Below are 23315 nucleotides of genomic sequence, written 5' to 3'. Positions count from 1 at the left end.
GTTAGTTACATATGTATACATGTGCCATGCTGGTGCGCTGCACCCACCAACGTGTCATCCAGCATTAGGTATATCTCCCAATGCCATCCCTCCCCCCTCCCCCGACCCCACCACAGTCCCCAGAGTGTGATATTCCCCTTCCTGTGTCCATGTGATCTCATTGTTCAATTCCCACCTATGAGTGAGAATATGCGGTGTTTGGTTTTTTGTTCTTGCGATAGTTTACTGAGAATGATAGTTTCCAATTTCATCCATGTCCCTACAAAGGACATGAACTCATCATTTTTTATGGCTGCATAGTATTCCATGGTGTATATGTGCCACATTTTCTTAATCCAGTCTATCATTGTTGGACATTTGGGTTGGTTCCAAGTCTTTGCTATTGTGAATAATGCCGCAATAAACATACGTGTGCATGTGTCTTTATAGCAGCATGATTTATAGTCCTTTGGGTATATACCCAGTAATGGGATGGCTGGGTCAAATGGTATTTCTAGTTCTAGATCCCTGAGGAATCGCCACACTGACTTCCACAATGGTTGAACTAGTTTACAGTCCCACCAACAGTGTAAAAGTGTTTCTATTTCTCCACATCCTCTCCAGCACCTGTTGTTTCCTGACTTTTTAATGATTGCCATTCTAACTGGTGTGAGATGATATCTCATAGTGGTTTTGATTTGCATTTCTCTGATGGCCAGTGATGATGAGCATTTTTTCATGTGTTTTTTGGCTGCATAAATGTCTTCTTTTGAGAAGTGTCTGTTCATGTCCTTCGCCCACTTTTTGATGGGGTTGTTTGTTTTTTTCTTGTAAATTTGTTTGAGTTCATTGTAGATTCTGGATATTAGCCCTTTGTCAGATGAGTAGGTTGCGAAAATTTTCTCCCATGTTGTAGGTTGCCTGTTCACTCTGATGGTAGTTTCTTTTGCTGTGCAGAAGCTCTTTAGTTTAATTAGATCCCATTTGTCAATTTTGGCTTTTGTTGCCATTGCTTTTGGTGTTTTGGACATGAAGTCCTTGCCCACGCCTATGTCCTGAATGGTAATGCCTAGGTTTTCTTCTAGGGTTTTTATGGTTTTAGGTCTAACGTTTAAATCTTTAATCCATCTTGAATTGATTTTTGTATAAGGTGTAAGGAAGGGATCCAGTTTCAGCTTTCTACATATGGCTAGCCAGTTATCCCAGCACCATTTATTAAATAGGGAATCCTTTCCCCATTGCTTGTTTTTGTCAGGTTTGTCAAAGATCAGATAGTTGTAGATATGCGGCATTATTTCTGAGGGCTCTGTTCTGTTCCATTGATCTATATCTCTGTTTTGGTACCAGTACCATGCTGTTTTGGTGACTGTAGCCTTGTAGTATAGTTTGAAGTCAGGTAGTGTGATGCCTCCAGCTTTGTTCTTTTGGCTTAGGATTGACTTGGCAATGCGGGCTCTTTTTTGGTTCCATATGAACTTTAAAGTAGTTTTTTCCAATTCTGTGAAGAAAGTCATTGGTAGCTTGATGGGGATGGCATTGAATCTGTAAATTACCTTGGGCAGTATGGCCATTTTCACGATATTGATTCTTCCTACCCATGAGCATGGAATGTTCTTCCATTTGTTTGTGTCCTCTTTTATTTCCTTGAGCAGTGGTTTGTAGTTCTCCTTGAAGAGGTCCTTCACATCCCTTGTAAGTTGGATTCCTAGGTATTTTATTCTCTTTGAAGCAATTGTGAATGTGATTTCACTCATGATTTGGCTCTCTGTTTGTCTGTTATTGGTGTATAAGAATGCTTGTGATTTTTGTACATTGATTTTGTATCCTGAGACTTTGCTGAAGTTGCTTATCAGCTTAAGGAGATTTTGGGCTGAGACGATGGGGTTTTCTAGATAAACAATCATGTCATCTGCAAACAGGGACAATTTGACTTCCTCTTTTCCTAATTGAATACCCTTTATTTCCTTCTCCTGCCTGATTGCCCTGGCCAGAACTTCCAACACTATGTTGAATAGGAGCGGTGAGAGAGGGCATCCCTGTCTTGTGCCAGTTTTCAAAGGGAATGCTTCCAGTTTTTGCCCATTCAGTATGATATTGGCTGTGGGTTTGTCATAGATAGCTCTTATTATTTTGAAATACGTCCCATCAATACCTAATTTATTGAGAGTTTTTAGCATGAAGGGTTGTTGAATTTTGTCAAAGGGTTTTTCTGCATCTATTGAGATAATCATGTGGTTTTTGTCTTTGGCTCTGTTTATATGCTGGATTACATTTATTGATTTGCGTATATTGAACCAGCCTTGCATCCCAGGGATGAAGCCCACTTGATCATGGTGGATAAGCTTTTTGATGTGCTGCTGGATTCGGTTTGCCAGTATTTTATTGAGGATTTTTGCATCAATGTTCATCAAGGATATTGGTCTAAAATTCTCTTTTTTGGTTGTGTCTCTGCCCGGCTTTGGTATCAGAATGATGCTGGCCTCATAAAATGAGTTAGGGAGGATTCCCTCTTTTTCTATTGATTGGAATAGTTTCAGAAGGAATGGTACCAGTTCCTCCTTGTACCTCTGGTAGAATTCGGCTGTGAATCCATCTGGTCCTGGACTCTTTTTGGTTGGTAAACTATTGATTATTGCCACAATTTCAGAGCCTGTTATTGGTCTATTCAGAGATTCTACTTCTTCCTGGTTTAGTCTTGGCAGAGTGTATGTGTCGAGGAATGTATCCATTTCTTCTAGATTTTCTAGTTTATTTGCGTAGAGGTGTTTGTAGTATTCTCTGATGGTAGTTTGTATTTCTGTGGGATTGGTGGTGATATCCCCTTTATCATTTTTTATTGTGTCTATTTGATTCTTCTCTCTTTTTTTCTTTATTAGTCTTGCTAGCGGTCTATCAATTTTGTTGATCCTTTCAAAAAACCAGCTCCTGGATTCATTGATTTTTTGAAGGGTTTTTTGTGTCTCTATTTCCTTCAGTTCTGCTCTGATTTTGGTTATTTCTTGCCTTCTGCTAGCTTTTGAATGTGTTTGCTCTTGCTTTTCTAGTTCTTTTAATTGTGATGTTAGGGTGTCAATTTTGGATCTTTCCTGCTTTCTCTTGTAGGCATTTAGTGCTATAAATTTCCCTCTACACACTGCTTTGAATGCGTCCCAGAGATTCTGGTATGTGGTGTCTTTGTTCTCGTTGGTTTCAAAGAACACCTTTATTTCTGCCTTCATTTCGTTATGTACCCAGTAGTCATTCAGGAGCAGGTTGTTCAGTTTCCATGTAGTTGAGCGGCTTTGAGTGAGATTCTTAATCCTGAGTTCTAGTTTGATTGCACTGTGGTCTGAGAGATAGTTTGTTATAATTTCTGTTCTTTTACATTTGCTGAGGAGAGCTTTACTTCCAACTATGTGGTCAATTTTGGAATAGGTGTGGTGTGGTGCTGAAAAAAATGTATATTCTGTTGATTTGGGGTGTAGAGTTCTGTAGATGTCTATTAGGTCCGCTTGGTGCAGAGCTGAGTTCAATTCCTGGGTATCCTTGTTGACTTTCTGTCTCGTTGATCTGTCTAATGTTGACAGTGGGGTGTTAAAGTCTCCCATTATTAATGTGTGGGAGTCTAAGTCTCTTTGTAGGTCACTCAGGACTTGCTTTATGAATCTGGGTGCTCCTGTATTGGGTGCATAAATATTTAGGATAGTTAGCTCCTCTTGTTGAATTGATCCCTTTACCATTATGTAATGGCCTTCTTTGTCTCTTTTGATCTTTGTTGGTTTAAAGTCTGTTTTATCAGAGACTAGGATTGCAACCCCTGCCTTTTTTTGTTTTCCATTGGCTTGGTAGATCTTCCTCCATCCTTTTATTTTGAGCCTATGTGTGTCTCTGCACGTGAGATGGGTTTCCTGAATACAGCACACTGATGGGTCTTGACTCTTTATCCAACTTGCCAGTCTGTGTCTTTTAATTGCAGAATTTAGTCCATTTATATTTAAAGTTAATATTGTTATGTGTGAATTTGATCCTGTCATTATGATGTTAGCTGGTGATTTTGCTCATTAGTTGATGCAGTTTCTTCCTAGTCTCGATGGTCTTTACATTTTGGCATGATTTTGCAGCGGCTGGTACCGGTTGTTCCTTTCCATGTTTAGCGCTTCCTTCAGGAGCTCTTTTAGGGCAGGCCTGGTGGTGACAAAATCTCTCAGCATTTGCTTGTCTATAAAGTATTTTATTTCTCCTTCACTTATGAAGCTTAGTTTGGCTGGATATGAAATTCTGGGTTGAAAATTCTTTTCTTTCAGAATGTTGAATATTGGCCCCCACTCTCTTCTGGCTTGTAGGGTTTCTGCCGAGAGATCCACTGTTAGTCTGATGGGCTTTCCTTTGAGGGTAACCCGACCTTTCTCTCTGGCTGCCCTTAACATTTTTTCCTTCATTTCAACTTTGGTGAATCTGACAATTATGTGTCTTGGAGTTGCTCTTCTCGAGGAGTATCTTTGTGGCGTTCTCTGTATTTCCTGAATCTGAACGTTGGCCTGCCTTGCTAGATTGGGGAAGTTCTCCTGGATAATATCCTGCAGAGTGTTTTCCAACTTGGTTCCATTCTCCCCATCACTTTTAGGTACACCAATCAGACGTAGATTTGGTCTTTTCACATAGTCCCATATTTCTTGGAGGCTTTGCTCATTTCTTTTTATTCTTTTTTCTCTAAACTTCCCTTCTCGCTTCATTTCATTCATTTCATCTTCCATTGCTGATACCCTTTCTTCCAGTTGATTGCATCGGCTCCTGAGGCTTCTGCATTCTTCACGTAGTTCTTGAGCCTTGGTTTTCAGCTCCATCAGCTCCTTTAAGCACTTCTCTGTATTGGTTATTCTAGTTATACATTCTTCTAAATTTTTTTCGAAGTTTTCAACTTTTTTGCCTTTGGTTTGAATGTCCTCCCGTAGCTCAGAGTAATTTGATCGTCTGAAGCCTTCTTCTCTCAGCTCGTCAAAATCATTCTCCATCCAGCTTTGTTCCGTTGCTGGTGAGGAACTGTGTTCCTTTGGAGGAGGAGAGGCGCTCTGCGTTTTAGAGTTTCCAGTTTTTCTGTTCTGTTTTTTCCCCATCTTTGTGGTTTTATCTACTTTTGGTCTTTGATGATGGTGATGTACAGATGGGTTTTTGGTGTAGATGTCCTTTCTGGTTGTTAGTTTTCCTTCTAACAGACAGGACCCTCAGCTGCAGGTCTGTTGGAATACCCTGCCGTGTGAGGTGTCAGTGTGCCCCTGCTGGGGGGTGCCTCCCAGTTAGGCTGCTCGGGGGTCAGGGGTCAGGGACCCACTTGAGGAGGCAGTCTGCCCGTTCTCAGATCTCCAGCTGCGTGCTGGGAGAACCACTGCTCTCTTCAAAGCTGTCAGACAGGGACACTTAAGTCTGCAGAGGTTACTGCTGTCTTTTTGTTTGTCTGTGCCCTGCCCCCAGAGGTGGAGCCTACAGAGGCAGGCAGGCCTCCTTGAGCTGTGGTGGGCTCCACCCAGTTCGAGCTTCCAGGCTGCTTTGTTTACCTAAGCAAGCCTGCGCAATGGCGGGCGCCCCTCCCCCAACCTCGCTGCCACCTCGCAGTTTGATCTGAGACTGCTGTGCTAGCAATCAGCGAGATTCCGTGGGCGTAGGACCCTCTGAGCCAGGTGTGGGATATAGTCTCCTGGTGCGCCGTTTTTTGAGCCGGTCTGAAAAGCGCAATATTCGGGTGGGAGTGACCCGATTTTCCAGGTGCGTCCGTCACCCCTTTCTTTGACTCGGAAAGGGAACTCCCTGACCCCTTGAGCTTCCCAGGTGAGGCAATGCCTCGCCCTGCTTCGGCTCGCGCACGGTGCGTGCACACACTGGCCTGCGCCCACTGTCTGGCACTCCCTAGTGAGATGAACCTGGTACCTCAGATGGAAATGCAGAAATCACCCGTCTTCTGCGTCGCTCATGCTGGGAGCTGTAGACCGGAGCTGTTCCTATTCGGCCATCTTGGCTCCTCCAACCTACTTTACTAATTTTTGAAGCCTTTCTTTGTTAAGTCCAACATTTATTCTTCCCTTGCTCAAAGACGCTATGTCTATTAAGTGTTGTTTTGAACCCTATGGGTAACTATTATTATTTGCATACTTTTTGTTGTTGAAAACTGGACATTTTAGATAATATATGGTAGCAATTTTAGATTCTGATTGCCTCATTTCCCAGGAGTGGTGGTTAGCAATACCAGTGGTTAGTATCTTGGAATACTGGAAGTCCTAACTCCCAGTACCTTGGAATGTGACTGTATTTGGAAATAGGGTCTTTTAACTGGCAATGAAGTTATAATAAGGTAATTAGAATGAGCCCTAATCTAATATGACTGGTGAGCTTAGAAGAGACTAGGACACAGACAAATAAAGAGAAGACCATGTGAAAACACAGGGAGAAGACAGCCAAGTGAAAGCCAAAGAGAGATGCCTCAGAAGAAACTAACCCTGCCAACACCTTGATCTTGAACTTCTAGCCTCTGGAATTGTAAGAAAATAAGTTTGTTGTTTAAGCTACAGTCTGTGGTGCTTTGTTATAGAAGCTCTAGGAAAGTATTAGACACCTTGAGCCAGTAAGACTTCTACCCTTTCCCAATGAATCAGTGTAGCTTGAGCAATATATTCAAAGTTGAGGTTGCCCCAGCTTTTACTTTATTTTTGCAAGGCCTCTTGTTCAACCAAGGGCTCACTAGGACCTTCTCCTGTCTCCTTAGTATGTGTATAGCTTTGCACATATTTATATTCTTCCAGACTACAGGGGAAAAGTAGGAAGTTATCAAGGTCCACTGTGGCTGTCCTGTTCTTCAAATTTCTCTGTTGAGTTTCTGGTTGGTTGCTAGTAAATTTTTTGCCCCAACAAGTATTGTGATCTTAGTCAGGCTAGGAGTGACCTTGGCCTTATCTGCTTGTTTGTCACTGGGATTACTGTTGTTTTAATAACGCTTTTGGTCTTGGAACTTTCTGAGCTCTGTTCCAAATAAAACTAGTCATCTCAAGCAATGAGGCTGCTGGGCCTCACAGTCTGACCCACCAAGGTAAACTTCTGCGTAACGGAATCTGAGGGTGGGGTAGTATATTAGTCTGTTTTCACACTGCTATAACAAACTTGTCAAGACTGGGTAATTTATAAAGGAAAGAGGTTTAATTGACTTACAGTTCCACATGGCTTGGGAGACCTCAGGAAACTTACAATGATGGCGTAAGGCAAAGGGGAAGCAAGGACCTTTTTCACATGGCAGCAGGAGAAAGAAGACTGAGTGAATGAGGAACTTGCTAAACACTTATAAAACTATCAGATCTCATGAGAACTCACTCACTATCATGAGAATAGCATGGGGAAAACTGCCCCCATGATCCAGTTTCCTCCCATCAGGTTCCTCCCTCAAAACCTGGGGATTACAATTCAAGATGAGATTTGGGTGGGGACACAAAGCCTAACCATATCAGGTGGGAAGAGTGGGAACAGTCCCAAGCTAACATGCCACAGACATGCACTGTTCTTACTGAGGTCCAGTAGATTTTCTTAAATAAACACTTCTCAAGTTCTTGTATGCTTGGTCAACTTCCTGAATCTTTAGAAGGTTGTTCATTGACAATTTTGTTCAGTTTTATAATTTCATTTTTAGGGAGAGTTACCATGTCCTCAATCAGCCATTCTGGAAATGCAACTCATTCCCTCTCTTCAGAAATCCTTTTACCATGTAGTCTTATAGTTGTTTCTGTATTTCAATCAGTTGTTGATCATAGTAGTCTTCCTTGACCATCCTACATAAAATAATCTTGCCTTATCTCCTTAGTTTGCTTTATTTTACTTCATAACATTTTTCAGTTCTTGACATTTTATAATTTTATGTGTTTGTTTATTGCCTTTCTCCCCCAGTGGAATGCAAACTCCCTAATGGAGAGGCCATTGTTTTGTTAATCATTGCATCCTTAGTGCCTATGACAATGCCTAGCAAATAGCATGCTCTCCGTAAATATTTGAGAAAGAATGAATGAATGTTAGATATGTAGTCTTTTAAGCTTGTGAGAAAATAATCATTCTCATAAACTTTTGTGAGTTGTTATAGCATTTTGGGATGTTGTTACACTTGATCCTGCAATGACATTTCTAGGAATCAAACACCTAAAGAATTAGTGGTCCTGTATGCAAAAATATTTATACTCAAATGTTCACTGCATCATTGTTTATAATTTAGAAAAAACTGGAAACCAAGCTACATATGCAGTAATTAGGGAATGCTAAATACTAAGAAAAACAATGAAGGCAATAAAAGGCATTATTTAGATATGTTTTGTAATGGAAAGATATTTCTAATCATTGCAAAAAATGAATGTGACAAAATAATGTGAATATAATACATACAATTAGTAAAGAGAATGTGTGTGTATTCGTCTTTTTTTGTATAGAATTGGATGTGTGGATACGATGAGAACTATATTAAAGAAAAATCACTTTTTACTCTATATGCTTTTTGCTTTTAAATGTAGTTTCATGTATTACTGTTATAATTTTATGCTATTTATAAAATAACAAAAATAAAAAATAAAGGCAATATCACACATTCCATTTATATTAGTTCTAAATATTTTGTATCAGTGCACTTCATCTTCTCATAGAGTGTAGTTACTAGAAATCAACATCTTTTGATTTGCCAGAGAGTGGGTAAACACTTACCAAATTGGAACAGCTGTATATTGAGTGTGTAAGTGCAATAGAAAATTCCAAACCGTAGAAGAACAGTAAAATACGTGATACTTCCCTCCCAAGTTTCTATAACCAAAAAACAGGGAGAAATCTTAATGCTATTATCTTTAGTGAGTGCAAACATGATCATGGAAGGAGCTACTGGTATGAGAGTCAAAAAAAAAAAAAAAAAAAAGGAAGGAAAATAAGAACAGATAAACCTTTCACCATTTGATTTCCTTAGACATTTCTACTCCTTTGCCCTCTGCTACACTTTCCCTAGCTTTCAGTTCCTCAATTCAGCATCTGTGGCTTCTGCATTTGATCTCCATTGCTTAGCATTCTTGTCTCACTTCTGACAGCTTTTACAGAGTCGCTGGCACAGCTCACTATCTAAACTCTCCAGTTAGTAAGATTTGACTTTCCTGTCTCTAATGATAAGATGGCCACCAACAGATTTATCAAGCAATCCTTTTCTATTAAAACAGCTATTATTAATCACAACCCTTCTTAAATTTACATACATGGTGATAAAACTCTCACATATATATTGCTCTAATATCATTTAAAATGATTAATACATTCAAAAAGAGTTCAAAGAACATTTAACTTGGAAGCATAAGGTGATTGTGACTGCTGGGATAAATAAAACAGATTCCCTTCTGTTGCTATCAGAAAGATATTTTCAACTACAAATCCGATTGGTTAGTTATGTGAATAATATTGGTACTCATCCTGAAAATGTGGGTTTTGTGCTGGCTGTGGAAAGACAAGAATGATACTCAGAACTAGAAAGAATGACATCATAATTCTCTCCCTTTCAATTCCTTCTCTAACTCTTCCTCCTCCTTCTTTGTTTGGTTTATTTAATATCTTTTATATTCAAGAAACTATCTGGTAGTAGGAATTAGATGATAGGAATGCAATGACACATAACTTCCTGATTTCTTAGAGTTTATAATGAAGTAGAAGAGACAGAAAGATAATATAAGGTACCATAAAAAATGGATAAAAACTTGCTCAATCATTATAGGGGACAGGAGGGACAGGAGGTTCACTCCAAGCTATTACTCTCTGGGAAGGCTTCATAAAGTGGTAGGACCTTTGAAATAAGGGTAGGACTGAGAAAAACGAAGGAAGGAAACAGCATTCTAGGCAACTTTAAATTTTTATTTGCTTGTTTCCTTGTAACCTATCTTGTTTCAGAAAGAGTTTAATAGCATAAATTAAAAGTGTGACAAAATAATTTAAAAATTGAGACATAAAATACAACCAGTAGAGTAAAGCTAAAATACATATTTGAACAACCTATGGTTTTTAATGTGAGAACAAAACTGAGTGTAAGCAATATAACATTTTGAGAAAATGAAAAACAGGTTTTAACTGAATTACAGTGTTCATTCATATATGATATAAACAGGAGGATAAGGAAAAGATGTAGAAAGTTTGAAATACCAAGGTAAATAATTTTGATTTACTTTTGTTGGCAGAAATGCACAATCATAATCATAACATTTTAGCTAGAAAGTACTTGGGACCTCTTAGCTGACAAGACTGTGAAAAGTCATTTTACCCATATTCCTTATTTTTTTTAATTTTTTAATTTAATTTATTTTGAGACTGAGTCTCGCTCTATCACCCAGGCTGGAGTGCAGTGGCGCAATCTCGGCTCACTGCAACCTCTGCCTCCTGGGTTCAAGCGATTCTCGTGCCTTAGCCTCCGGAGTAGCTGGGATTACAGGTGCCCACCGCCATGCCCAGCTAACTTTTGTATTTTTAGTGGAGACAGGGTTTCACCTTGTTGGCCAGGCTGGTCTCGAACATCTGATCTCAAGTGATCCGCCTGCCTTGGCCTTCCAAAGTGCTGGGATTACAGGCGTGAGCCACCGTGCCTGGCCCCATATTCTTTAATTTATATGAGAGTGCTATTCTAAAACTCCCTCCCTGACTGAAAGCGGCAAAAGGTTGGCCAGAGCAGCTCAAATATGAAAACTGAGGAAACGGAAACACACACACACACACACACACACACACACACACAGAGAGAGAGAGAGAGAGAGAGAGAGAGAGAGAGAGAGAGAGAGAGAGACGGAATGAATGAGTTCCTGGCAGATGATGTAAACTGTAAGCTTCTGGACCCAGCTTAAGTAAAGTAAGTGACCCTTTTTGCCTTAAGTCAACTTGGGTTGTATTTCCTATTACTTAAAACCAAGATAACCCTAATTAATAAATACTTAAATGAAGAATAAGCAATATTTGGTAATTATAAAGACAGTAGAAAGAGATGAGGTATTATGTCAAGGTTTTGTATGTGGGAGATTGAAACGAGGGAGTCTTGCAGTATAGTACTTCTGAGGAGGTAAGTAATTTCCATTTTATATCTGTTGAGTTTGATATAATAGTGATAGAAACATAGCCAAGTAGAAAAGTCAAACTAGCTTTTAAAACAACAGGCCGGGAGTTTGGAAGAAAGAACAGAGCAGTTAACTAGCAGGCATTTTCTTCATTTCTCACAAAAGAAAACTTGGAAACAGTTAAGTTAAGAAACTTTTCCAGGGGTTTACACACAGTGAGTACTGAGGATAGTATTTAAATAAGTGCACTCTGATCCTGGAATCTATACTATTAACCATTTTGCTATATGAGGAGTATATTTCAGATGCATGCACTTTTCTGACCCTGCCTGGGAACACTGAAAACTTGATGACTTTGTAGATTTAGCCAAGCCCCTTGCTTATGTGAGAAAAGTTGGCATGTAAAAGTCCTGTAAAATGTTGGCTGCCTTAGCAAGTGTAAGTATATAATTCTGTAATGACACTAGAAAAAGATGGTGGCTTTGAGATATAAGTCTAATATACAAGCTCATTTTGTGTAACTAATCACAGCAAACTTGTGCTGAACTTGTGATTTTGAGAGACTATAAAACTGGTCGTTATCATTGAGTTCAGATCAGATAAATACAGACTACAATAGTTTGTCACACTGACTGCAAAAGGCAATCCTTGGCAATTATGCCATATTAAACTGATAATTAAAAGTTTATGAATAAGAATGGTGACATATAACTTGAAACAATTATGCACTTAATAACTTAAGTCCTCCTTTCCTATTCTCTGCCCTCAAAATTAGAACTAAAGATTTCTAGATTGAATGTTCAGGGCAACTGGACAATTTTCTTATAATTTATAGGGAAAATCTGGTCCATGTTTGTTTACATAATCACTTGTTACAGATAATATATTTTGGGGTATTAGTGCATTTTTCTATTATTGTATCACTGTCCTCCAGGGTTTTGTTCTCCAGGTTTGGGTTCTTTCCTCTGATGTCCCCCTTAATAATATGTCACAGGTATGGAGTGAAAGTGTGTAGGGGAGGAGGAGGAAGTTTATCCTTCACCTGTAATGACGCTTCTACTCATTACTGAAATTGTTATTTGTTTTGTTCTGTTGGTCAGACAAGGTGTTTCACTCCAATTTGTCCTCACTTTAAATGTGAGATTTTGTATTAACTTTGCTAAGGTCTTTTGCCCCACTAATATTTTATGATTCTGAATTTAAAGCCAATATAATTAAAATAAAACTATTGTGTTATCAGTAAAAATCTTCACATTTACTGGGCAACTAAATGGAAACAAGTTAGGTTTATTTATATTTAGCATTTTTGGCCTTAAAGCAAAATTTATGTAAGATGCAAAGATAGGCTATGTATGAAAAATTCTATGTTAAGCCAGAAATTACTAGGTGTCTACAATTTGAACCATATGTGTCAGTAGCAGAATTCTTTTGTTTATTTGCAAAATGGTTTTATTGTCCAGGATTATACTTTTCTTGTATTAAGAGAATCATTAAGTGGCTCTGTGCCTAATACATAGACACTTGCCACTGAAGCTTTCAAATTTTTACTCACTTTAATTCAGCAAGTCAAGAATTCAAACATTCTCTTAATATTTACTAAAACTCACAGCCTAGAATTATTTTTGATTTAAAATTTTCAATCAAGAGCTCACAACTAAATCAAAGAATTTCATGAGGACGAATAAAAGCCTCATCTTACCTCCTAAGATTTCAAAATTATTAAAAAGAATAATTTTAAAATTAATATGTTCCCATAGAATTGGTCACTTACTGCTTGTCCATAATTCCTGTATGACACAGAATTAAAATGAGACAACTCTATTATTGTTAGAGTTACTGCAGTAATTGTAGTAATTATGCAGATGATGTTTATGATTAAAGTACTTATAATCTGAAAAGGAGACAGAGGGCAAATTTATTATATTCAGAATAAACATTTTGGTGTAATAGTTTGCATTGCTGAAAAAACTCATCTAGTTAAAACTTTGATCTAGTTTCTGAAGTCTTAGAAGTATTAAATATTAAGAAAATATTTTTCTGATTTATATGAAGCCCAGTTAATCTGGAGGAAACATTAACACCATCAGTCCATTAATCATTAATCTTCCATTTAGGCTAAAACATATTGTATTTTTTGGGGCCGGGCGCAGTGGCTCACGCCTGTAATCCCAGCACTTTGGGAGGCCGAGACGGGTGGATCACGAGGTCAGGAGATCGAGACCATCCTGGCTAACACGGTGAAACCCCATCTCTAGTAAAAATACAAAAAAATTAGCCGGGCTTGGTGGCGGGCACCTGTAGGCCCAGCTACTTGGGAGGCTGAGGCAGAATGGTGTAAACCCAGGAGGCAGAGCTTGCAGTGAGCCGAGATTGTGCCACTGCACTCCAGCCTGGGTGAGAGAGAGAGACTCCATCTCAAAAAAAAAAAAAAAAAAGTATTGTGTTTTTCAATGTTATAGGTCATTTGGAAGAAAGCATATAAGATATGATTTGGACAAAAGTGGTTCCACTGTAAGAAAAAAAAAAAAGTGGAAAATGACTGCTTGTAGAAATAGGAGTCAGTTGATAAAATTTTAATCCTGGGTTTTCATTATCTAAGGAAATCTATCAGTATCTTCAGACATCATTTTTTTATCTGTAAAATTATGAGGGCAGACTAATTTCTAAGGTACGTTTTAGCTCTAAGATTCTAAAGTGTTCTTCCCAATTCTATCCACCTATACCATGCATGGATCTTTAATCTGGACCAATTCTGTACTTTGTTACAGGACACAATCTTGTTCCCAAACTGGATAGTTCAGAAAATGAAGTTTTACAGTAGTATAATGTCTATATCTAAAGGCATTAGGTCCTATTAAAATTTTTTAATTATAAAGTTTACACAATGTTAAAAGGCAGAACATCAAACAAAACAAAAACTATATATACATTTAGAAACCTATACATAAAGTAATCATGATTTTAACCAATACAGTATATTTGTCTATATTAAATTATGTTCTTCTAGATTCATTCTTAATTCTTTCATTTACTTTACAGGTAGGGTAGATTCCTTCATTGTTTAGACGTTATATTTTCATTAAAACTTAATATTTAGCTTTGTGATAAGTGATTTCTAGAGATACCTCAAACATTTCAACTTACTCCAGATCGAGTCGGATACTTTGTTACTCTTATTAGGAAGACTCCTGCAATGATAAACTGGATATAAAAACATATTTATAAATACTCATTGATAATGCTTGCCAATTTAGAATGTACTTTTAATAACTCTCTTGTAAGTCAATTATTTTAAGAATGCTAATAGTAACAAAATATACAGAAGTTTTAGTAGATGGGTCAGGACAAATTTACATCATGTAGTAATACATTGAAAGGTAATAGTAGAGTCACTCATAACAGAGACACATAGGGGACAGTGGGCAGATTCACACTGTGATAATATGCCAGACAGCCTAAGCAGTCCTGACCGGGAACCAAGTTTGCTTTTATGTGTATGAGATACATCATATATAACTCATTTGATTATTGCTTTTAATGTTATCCTTCCTAATGAGATGATGACACTACTTATGATTACTATGTACATATCCAAATATGGAAAAAGTGGTTCAAGAATCTATTCCATATTGTGATGGTACAAAATATGCAGTCTCTTTTATGAGATTGTAGTCATTATTAAGGTAATGGCAGAAATTCATGCCTTTGCCTTTGTTTTTTAAAACAGAGGTTCCATTATTTCATGTCAGGAAGTCTGTCTACTTCCAAGAAGTATAAAACTATGCCATATTGTTTGAAGATGGGTTGCACAATTTCCTCAAAGTATTCCTTATTTGTTTTATTGATAAGACACTAAAGATCCAAGTCAAAGGCTATTTTTGTCATGCTATACACTATATGTAGGAAGCCCAAACCTGAAGCTTACAAACTTCCCATGGATAATTTTAAATCTATTTGTTCAGCACTTCATTCCACAACAAAAGCTGAGATTTCTAAGGAGGTACACAGTGAACGTAAGAACTAGCTCAGAATTTAAAGTGAAAATATCTTGTGAATTTTGAATTAGAGTGCTCTCTAATGAGATTATCTTTCGATTACTATGTGTTTTACAAAATGCCTTTCAAAGTTTAGGCTTAAGTGAGAAGTTTAGTATTAAATTACATTTAGTTGAAATTTTAGATAAGTTATCCTAGGAGTTTAATATACTATTTTTATAATATGAGTGGTCAAACACTAAGGAAAATGCATCATTTATTTGGATTTTGTTGGAAAATCCACAGTTTTTCTCCTCTTTTTTAAGGTAGTGCTTTGACACTTGTGACCCAGTGCATCATTTATCATTTATCACCTATGAACCAGTGCATTATTTATGAGCCATTCATCTTTTATGAACCATGTATCATTTATCTGGATTTTGTGCAAAAATTCAATATTTTTCTCCTATTTTTTCAAGGCAATCCATTGACACTTATGAATTAGTGTATGTATAAAAGTGGGAGACCTCCTAGAGATCATTGTTTCTTCTAGTGATTAATTGCTGTCTCAATGGGCAGCCATATTGTATCCTACAGCCCTCATTCCATCTGTTCGAAGTGTGGGATAAGTGGTTTCCTTGCTCATTATTGCTATCCAACCATTCTTTCTCCTCCACCTTTGAATCACATGTCAGTTTCTATAACTCACTATCCTTCATGGTTTAAGTAATCTATTGACCCCTTGGCCATTCCTCTTTTCGAATGAATTGAAATTTTGACTCTCTGATTCTCTCTCCAACATCACTTAATATTTGGTGATTTTTACACACACACACAAACACACACATACATATATATGTGTGTATATATCTATATATATACATCTATCTATCTATCTATCTATCTATCTATCTATCTATCTATCTGTCTGATCTTTTGATATGGTTTGGCTCTGTGTCCCCACCCAAATCTCATCTTGTAGCTTCCATAATTCCCATGTGTTGTGGGCGGGACCCAGTGGGAGATAATTGAATCATGGGAGCGGGTCCTTCCCATGCTGTTCTTGTGATAGTGAATAAGTCCTATGAGATCTGATGGTTTTAAAAATGGGAGTTTCCCTGCACAAGCCCTCTCTCTTTGCCTGCTGCCATTCATGTAAGATGTGACTTGCTCCTCCTTGCCTTCTGCCACAATTGTGAGGCCTTCCCAGCCATGAGAAACTGTAAGTCCAACAAACCTCTATCTTTTGTAAATTGCCCAGTCTCAGGTATGTCTTTATTAGCAGCATAAAAATGGACTATTACAATAAATTGGCACCAGGAGTGGGGTGCTGCTGAAAAGATACCCAAAAATTTGGAAGTGACTTTGGAACTGGGTAACAGGCAGATGTTAGGACAGTTTGGAGGACTTAGAAGAAGACAGGAAAATGTGGGAAAGTTTGGAACTCCCTAGAGACTTGTCAGATGGCTTTGACCAAAATGCCAATAATGATATGAAAAATGAAATCAAGGCTGAGGTGGTCTCAGATGGAAGATGAGGAATTTGTTGGGAATTAGAGCAAGGTGACTCTTGTTATGTTTTAGCAAAGAGACTGGTGGCATTTTTCCCTAGAGATTTGTGGAACTTTGAACTTGAGAGAGATGATTTAAGATATCTGGCAGAAGAAATGATCTAAGCAGCAAACCTTTCAAGAGGTGACTTGGATGCTGTTAAAGGCATTCAGTTTTATAAGGCAAGCACAGCATAAAAGTTCAAAAAAATTTACAGCCTGACAATGTGATAGAAAAGAAAAACCCATTTTCTGAGGAGAAATTTAAGCCAGCTGCAGAAATTTGCATAAGAAATGAGGAGCTGAATGTTAATTCTCAAGACAATGGGGAAAATGTCTCCAGGGCATGTCTGAGATCTTCATGGCAGCCCCTCCCATCACAGGCCCTGAAGCCTAGGAGGAAAAAGTGGTTTCATGGGCCGGGCCCAGGGCCCCTGTACTATGTGCAGCCTAGGGACTTGGTGCCCTGAATCCCAGCTGCTTCATCTGTGGCTGAAAGGGGCCAATGTAGAGCTTGGGCCATGGCCTCAGAGGGTGCGAGCCCCAAGCCTTGACAGTTTCCATGTGGTGTTGAGCCTGCGGGTACACAGAAGTCAAGAATTAAGGTTTTGGAACCTCTGCCTAGATTTCAGAGGATATATGGAACTGCCTGGATGCCCAGCGGAAGTTTGCTGCAGGGGCGGGGCCCTCATGGAGAACCTCTGCTAGGGCAGGGCAGAAGGGAAATGTGGGGTCGGAGCTGCCACACAGAGTCCCTACTGAGGCACTGCCTGGTGGAGCTGTGAGAAGAAGGCCACCATCCTCCAGACCCCAGAATGGTAGATCCTCTGACAGCTTGCACCGTGTGCCTGGAAAAGCTGCAGACAACGCCAGCCTGTGAAAACAGCCAGATCAGGGCTACACCATGTGAAGCCACAGGGGTAGAGCAGCCCAAGGCCATGGGAGCCCACCTCTTGCATCAGCATAACCTGGATGTGAGACATGGAGTCAAAGGAGATCATTTTTGAGCTTTAAGATTTGACTGCCCCACTGGATTTTAGACTTGCATGGGGCCTGTAGCCTTTGTTTCAACCAATTTCTCGCATTTGGAACAGCTGTATTTACTCAAGCCTGTACCCCCATTGTATCTAGGAAGTAACTAACTTGCTATTGATTTTACAGGCTCATAGGTGGAGAGGACCTTGCCTTGTCTCAGATGAGACTTTGGACTGTGGACTTTTGAGTTAATGCTGAAATGAGTTAAGACTTTGGGGGACAGTTGGGAAGGCATGATTGGTTTTGAAATGTGAAGACATGAAATTTAGGAGGGGCCAGGGGCAGAAAAACTCCCATTTCTTAAAACCATTAGATCTTGTGAGACTTATTCACTATCATGAGAACAGCATGGGAATGACTCGCCACCCCCCCAGCCTCATGATTCAGTTATCTTCCACCAGGTCCCTCCCACAATACTTGGGAATTATGGGAGCTATAAGATGAGATTTGGGTGGGGACACACAGCCAAACCATATCATCTTTCTATACCTTGGGCTTGTGGTTCTTGTTCTCTCCTCCAATCCCTGACTCCAAACTATCTTAGTCACTCACTCCCATAATCATTCTCTTGTCCTTGTTGTACCTTTCAAATCTTAATTTCAAGTATTCCACCTGATCATCACCTGCTATCTTTCTAGCTCATGCCCTCTAGTATTAAAATTCTAACAACCCTTTGACCCCACCTGGGTCTATAATCTGAGAACTTCAACTCTCTGTTAAATTCTTCTTTCCATCACTAACTTAAATTTCATGGCCAACCATTACAAACACTGCCCTATATCCACTTGCAATTGCTTTGCACCTTTCTTGTTTTATTATAGTTGCACAGCTAAACAAAGATCCTGATTGTTTTTATCCTACTGCATGGTTGCACTCATGCAGCTGAACATGGCCTGAGGAAGGCATACAACCCATATTCATATCCTGTTCCTAAACCTCAAGTATGTCCTTAATGCTGTGTGAAAATAAAACCACCTCTCCATAATCTGTGCACTCTCACTTTTCCTCGATGATTATTTCATATTCTCTTGCCTTTCCTCAAACAACCAAACCACTTCCCCATACTCAATCTCAGCTCATAATCTTGCTTCCTAATTCATTGAGCTATTTGAAGCTACTGGAAAAAAAAAAAAACTTCCACAGGCTTCCAACATCCTATCAAAGAAAACTCTCCTTTCTCTGCCTTTCCCTTCTGTTTTTGTACTTTGAAACCATTTATAATTAGACTGGATAATTCTTTGTTGTGAGGTGCTGTCCTGTGGATCACAGGCTATTTAGCAGCATCTTTTGCCCCTGCCCATCTGATGTACATCTCCAGCGGTGAAAATCCAAAATATCTCCAGATATTATAAAATGTTATCAGGGGCAAAATTGCCTCTAGCTGAGAACCATGCCCTAGATAAACTTTCTATGCTCCTAGCTATTTGTGCATCAAAATCCATCACCTCTTGCCTACACAAATACTTGATCCCAATACCCACCCCCATTTACTCATATCATCAATTTTCTTTCTTTTGGTTCAGTCCTCTCAACAAAGGATATGATGCTGTTTCTTTCAACTCACAGAAACTAATAAGCAAACCCTCTCTTGAGCCAAGTTTCCCCAGCTATCACCCCATTTCTTTATACCACATTACAGTAAAGTCCTTAAAGAAGCTCCTGTTTGCTGTCTGTAATTCCTCTCTTCCTATTTTTTTCTTAAATCAACTCCTACCAGGTTTTTGCTTCACAATTCCACTGAAACTACTTGTAAAATTTACTACTGACTTCCATATTGCTAAATCCAATGGTCAATTCGTAGTCCTCATTTTATTTGACAAAACAACAAAATATAATATAGTTGATCCTTCCTCATTTCTTCTAACAATTTCTTCACTTGGCTTCCAGGATATCATGCTCTCCAGGTTTTCCTCTACCTAATGGCTATCTAGAAACCACAGGAGAGTGTTAGTAATGAAAAATTTAGAAAATGAGTACTGACTCATTGGGTGAGGAGACTGAAGTGAAGATAATAAACATGCAAGTTAATCATGCTAATGGATATTATAGTTAAGATTCTTTGCCTTTCACATATCTAGGGACAAACTGCCCTATGGTTGTCATTGTGTACTCCTGTATCCATATCTCTTGAAACAGCACTTGTAAATTAAAGGTGCTCAATATATATTTGTTGAAAAAAGGAATCTGACTTTGAATAAATTATCAACATGGGATTTAGTTACATAATTCTCCTGAAAACCTTGTTCAGAAACCGTTCCCTACCTTCTACTATTGGCATGAATATTATTTATTGTATGATTAAAGCAATATATATGTATTCTACTCACAAAAATTCCCCATAAAGTACATCCTGTTTTGTAAGTTACAGGTTCATACGTTCCAAAGGCTCCTTTAATTTGTCCCATATACAAAACCAATAGAAAGTACCACATGAAAATGTGAAAGATGCCAATCATAATCTGGATAGTCTGTGAGAAGAGAATTATGTTAGTACCGAAATAATGTAATTTAAAACACAATTCCAATAAGTGTTAACTATAAGAAGCATTTAACACCTTTACAAATACAAAAGTAAAACAGCAATGCACTTAATGATGTATTTCCTGGATTGGTTATCCCAGAAAAAAGGACCGATCAGGAAGGACTGAGATTTACCAAATAGGAATCAGTCATACTGAAAGCAACAGGCTGTTCAATAATAGTAGCTCTGGCCAATTCTCCTGTAAGTTAACAGTTTGATTCTATCACTGGATAGTCTCCCTACCTATCAAGTAATGGTATGAGAGAATATTGGGGTTACTTCAGAGAAAATGTGGTTACTAATCTACTATAATGCAGGAAGCCATAAATCCAACATTTTCTTGTACATTAGTAATTTATTAAAGATGAATCACTTTTTGAATTTTATAAAGGTTTGATTTATCTTTTCCTTCAAGGAGTATTTGGTATGATTTTTTTCACAAGTATGCTGGAGTGGGGCATAATCCAACACAGCAATACAGAAAATATCCAAAATGGACTCGCTTGAACTCGGTTTTCCCATTGGAAAGGGGAAGGATTTTGAATAGGGGAGAATTATTACTCAACTCTAATTTGTAAGAAGATAATTATAATCCCAGCAAATTTATTTCTGAATTTATATGTGAACTGATATTTCATATATTTAATCACATTTTTGATTACTCTTTAAAAATGACAGAGGACACATAAATTTTATTTTCATATAAACTTAAACAGAAAGCTATTTAATGTTTTAAGAGTTCCAGCTCTTTGCAAAGCAGGCAGTCTATGAAATATATAAGTGCAATTGGCTAACTTTAAAAAATACATTTTGGAGAAGTTTTGTTTTTTTTTTAAGAAAAAGTCTCTTTTTTGGTAACGATCATGCATTTTTATAGATTTAGAATTTAACGTTTCCCCTTGCATCAAATTTGCAAGAATGGTAATTTTCCAGAAATTCTTTGGATTTGCCTGGAGAAATATCTCCCACTAGACTGCAAAATCCCTTAGGGCCTGGAGTTTTTTTTTTTTTATTGTTTTATCACCAGCCTCTAATATGGTGCCCAGAATAGAGAAGGCATCCAGCAAATACCTCTTATATAAGCATACTGGTGTCAAGAATAGTGATTCCATGTGACTTTCCCAACTGTTAAAAAAGTAAGTGAGCTTGAAAAGTACTATCTCTTTTTAAATGATTGACTATTGTTTTATATAAAACCATGAGATAGCTAATTAGCCAATGCTTGTTAAGAACTGCCAGTGTGTGGAGAAGGACAAGATAGGTTTTCTTATTTAAAAATGATTCTTAATCTAGAATCAATATGAGTTCCAGGAGGTCAGACCCGCCTACCCCCTGCCCCCAGGGAAAAAAAATGCGAAGGATTGTGACATGTACATAATTCTGGAAAGAAGATTCAGAGTTTTCATTCTATGCCAAAATGGTCTGTGACCCCAAAGAGGTTAAGAACCTCTGCTGAACAGTCGTATAGGCGACTTAGATAATTGATCTATGCAACATTCAAATTCAGAAGAAAAGTTCACGAGTGGAAATGTTTTCTCCCCTTTGGATGTGAAAAAGCATGATACTCATAATTCCTTGGTGTTCATTAAGAAAGCTAAACTGTAACTTCACATGTTTATAACTTAATAGAAGAGACAAATTTATAATCATCCTACTGCATAAATGTAAGTGCAGTACTCTCTTTTTTCCTTTTAAACCTTACTTGGATTTCTCTATTATCCTGTGTGTGTTGGTTTAGTCTGTATCCCCATATCTCAGCACATGAAGGAACATGAGATCAGTCAAAATTTGTAGAAGACAATCAACATTTGAAAAAAAAAAAACTTTTACCCTTTTGATTTAACCAAGTCTGTCCCCCTTTAGATCCAATATATCCGTTAAAAAAATGAAATAGTTCATGATCTTAAATTTAGTTAGTCAAAGTGAAATCTTACCCCTAAAACGAGAGAATCTGCTGTAGAGATTTGTTAAAGAACACATGCCATACTGCCAGCATTTCCTCTAGATGATTTTCTCTTTAACCTTTGGTGATGTCTTTATTAGCAAACTTCTACAAAACAGTACAAAGCACATATACATTATTTTCTTAGAAGAAAATACGTAAGTTTGATCCTTTCCTTATTGTTCAGTCACCACCTCTCCAAATTCAGAAGCAATAGCCTTCTTTCTTCTTTCTAGGCCTTAATATTAGAGGCATCAACTTTCATCCATCTGTTCTGAATAACAGCCTTCATAACTGAAAAGTCTCTCTCTATGACTAAAACATATCGGCATTTTACAGCTATCATCTCTGAGTAGTAAATAGTGCCTACTGTTTACAGAGTATGATAGGGAGAGGAACACCGTAATCAGCCTCCGTGTCCCTTTATGGCTTCTGACACGAAAGCACTCCAGCAAAGCGACATCACTACCCTGCATTTTACTTGTTCAAGGTTCCAAGGAGTTTCGGGGGGCGCTCGTCCAGGACCCAGTCCGAGTTCTCACGCCAGCGCCCAGGCCTAGATGAAGAGGAAGATCCCGGCTGGCAACGCGCTCAGCGCCAGGTCCCCAGATCTCGCTGAGCTACCATCACAGGGATAGCCAGGAGCCCAGCACCCGGCCGGCTCTCAGGCTCCTCAGGGAGTGACGGTCTGCAATGGCAACGGTGTGCTCCTCTTGCGCCTGCGCACCCACTCAGGAACTGCCGGGGCGGAGGTAGTGCGTGTGCGCAGACTCACTAGGCTCCTGGCAGCCATGTGGTCAGACACCCGGTTAACTACGTTTTGGTGCCTCTAGGAACGGTTTCTGCAAACCTCTATTCTGAGATTGCCCATATTGGTGCATTTCTTATACACCCACCTGCTGCACAGTGACCAGGATCACTGAGGAGAAGTCCGCCCTTCACCTTTTCTGTCTTCAAAGAAAAATTTTGACCACAAGAGCACCTTTGGAAGGTGCACTTTCGAGTGAAGTGGCTAAATCAATGGCTCACTTTTTTTTTCTTTAAACATAAGTAACTGAAGAAGGAAATTAGTGATGAAAGTAATACTTAACAAGACACCAGAATGACTTTTTGATCCACTTGCTGAGGCGGGTTTACCTTTTAGGTGACACGTGGTGTTAGTTTTCTGTTTGAGGTGTAGACAGTAGTTAAAACAGTGTTTATGAAGAGGTGCTTTAGATGAGCAGTACAGACCATCCTCTTAGGCAGCTATCAT

At 38.5% G+C, this 23315-nt stretch overlaps 1 protein-coding gene across 5 annotated transcripts in view, besides 1 other annotated feature; it reads right to left on the bottom strand.

The window, feature by feature from the left end:
- MS4A13 (membrane spanning 4-domains A13) overlaps nt 1-22745 on the bottom strand; it is a 28033-nt gene extending 5288 nt beyond the window's left edge. For 2 of the 5 annotated variants that reach the window (XM_047427040.1, NM_001012417.3), the window contains exons 1-6: nt 22530-22745; nt 22053-22168; nt 19925-20065; nt 14184-14240; nt 12811-12930; nt 8677-8772 (exon numbers count right to left, since the gene is read on the bottom strand). In XM_047427040.1, coding sequence (XP_047282996.1) covers nt 8677-8772; nt 12811-12930; nt 14184-14240; nt 19925-20053 — 402 coding nt within the window. In that variant the 5' untranslated portion in view covers nt 20054-20065; nt 22053-22168; nt 22530-22745. The remainder of the gene's footprint in view (nt 1-8676; nt 8773-12810; nt 12931-14183; nt 14241-19924; nt 20066-22052; nt 22169-22529) is intronic. The other 3 variants (XM_047427041.1, NM_001278320.2, NM_001100909.2) reach the window with 2 other exon arrangements.
- Nucleotides 8923-9072: a silencer, noted in NCBI's record as "silent region_3372". NCBI's record gives its function as "represses an Ori minimal core promoter by ATAC-STARR-seq in GM12878 lymphoblastoid cells {active_cell/tissue: GM12878}" and the evidence as "EXISTENCE:reporter gene assay evidence [ECO:0000049][PMID:35858748]".
- Nucleotides 22746-23315: the final 570 nt, after the last annotated feature.

This window comes from Homo sapiens, chromosome 11 (assembly GCF_000001405.40).
Source record: "Homo sapiens chromosome 11, GRCh38.p14 Primary Assembly".
In the NCBI taxonomy this organism is placed as follows: domain Eukaryota; kingdom Metazoa; phylum Chordata; class Mammalia; order Primates; family Hominidae; genus Homo; species Homo sapiens.
Note: the sequence above shows the minus strand (reverse complement) of the source record. Positions and strands in the feature narration are given on the sequence as shown.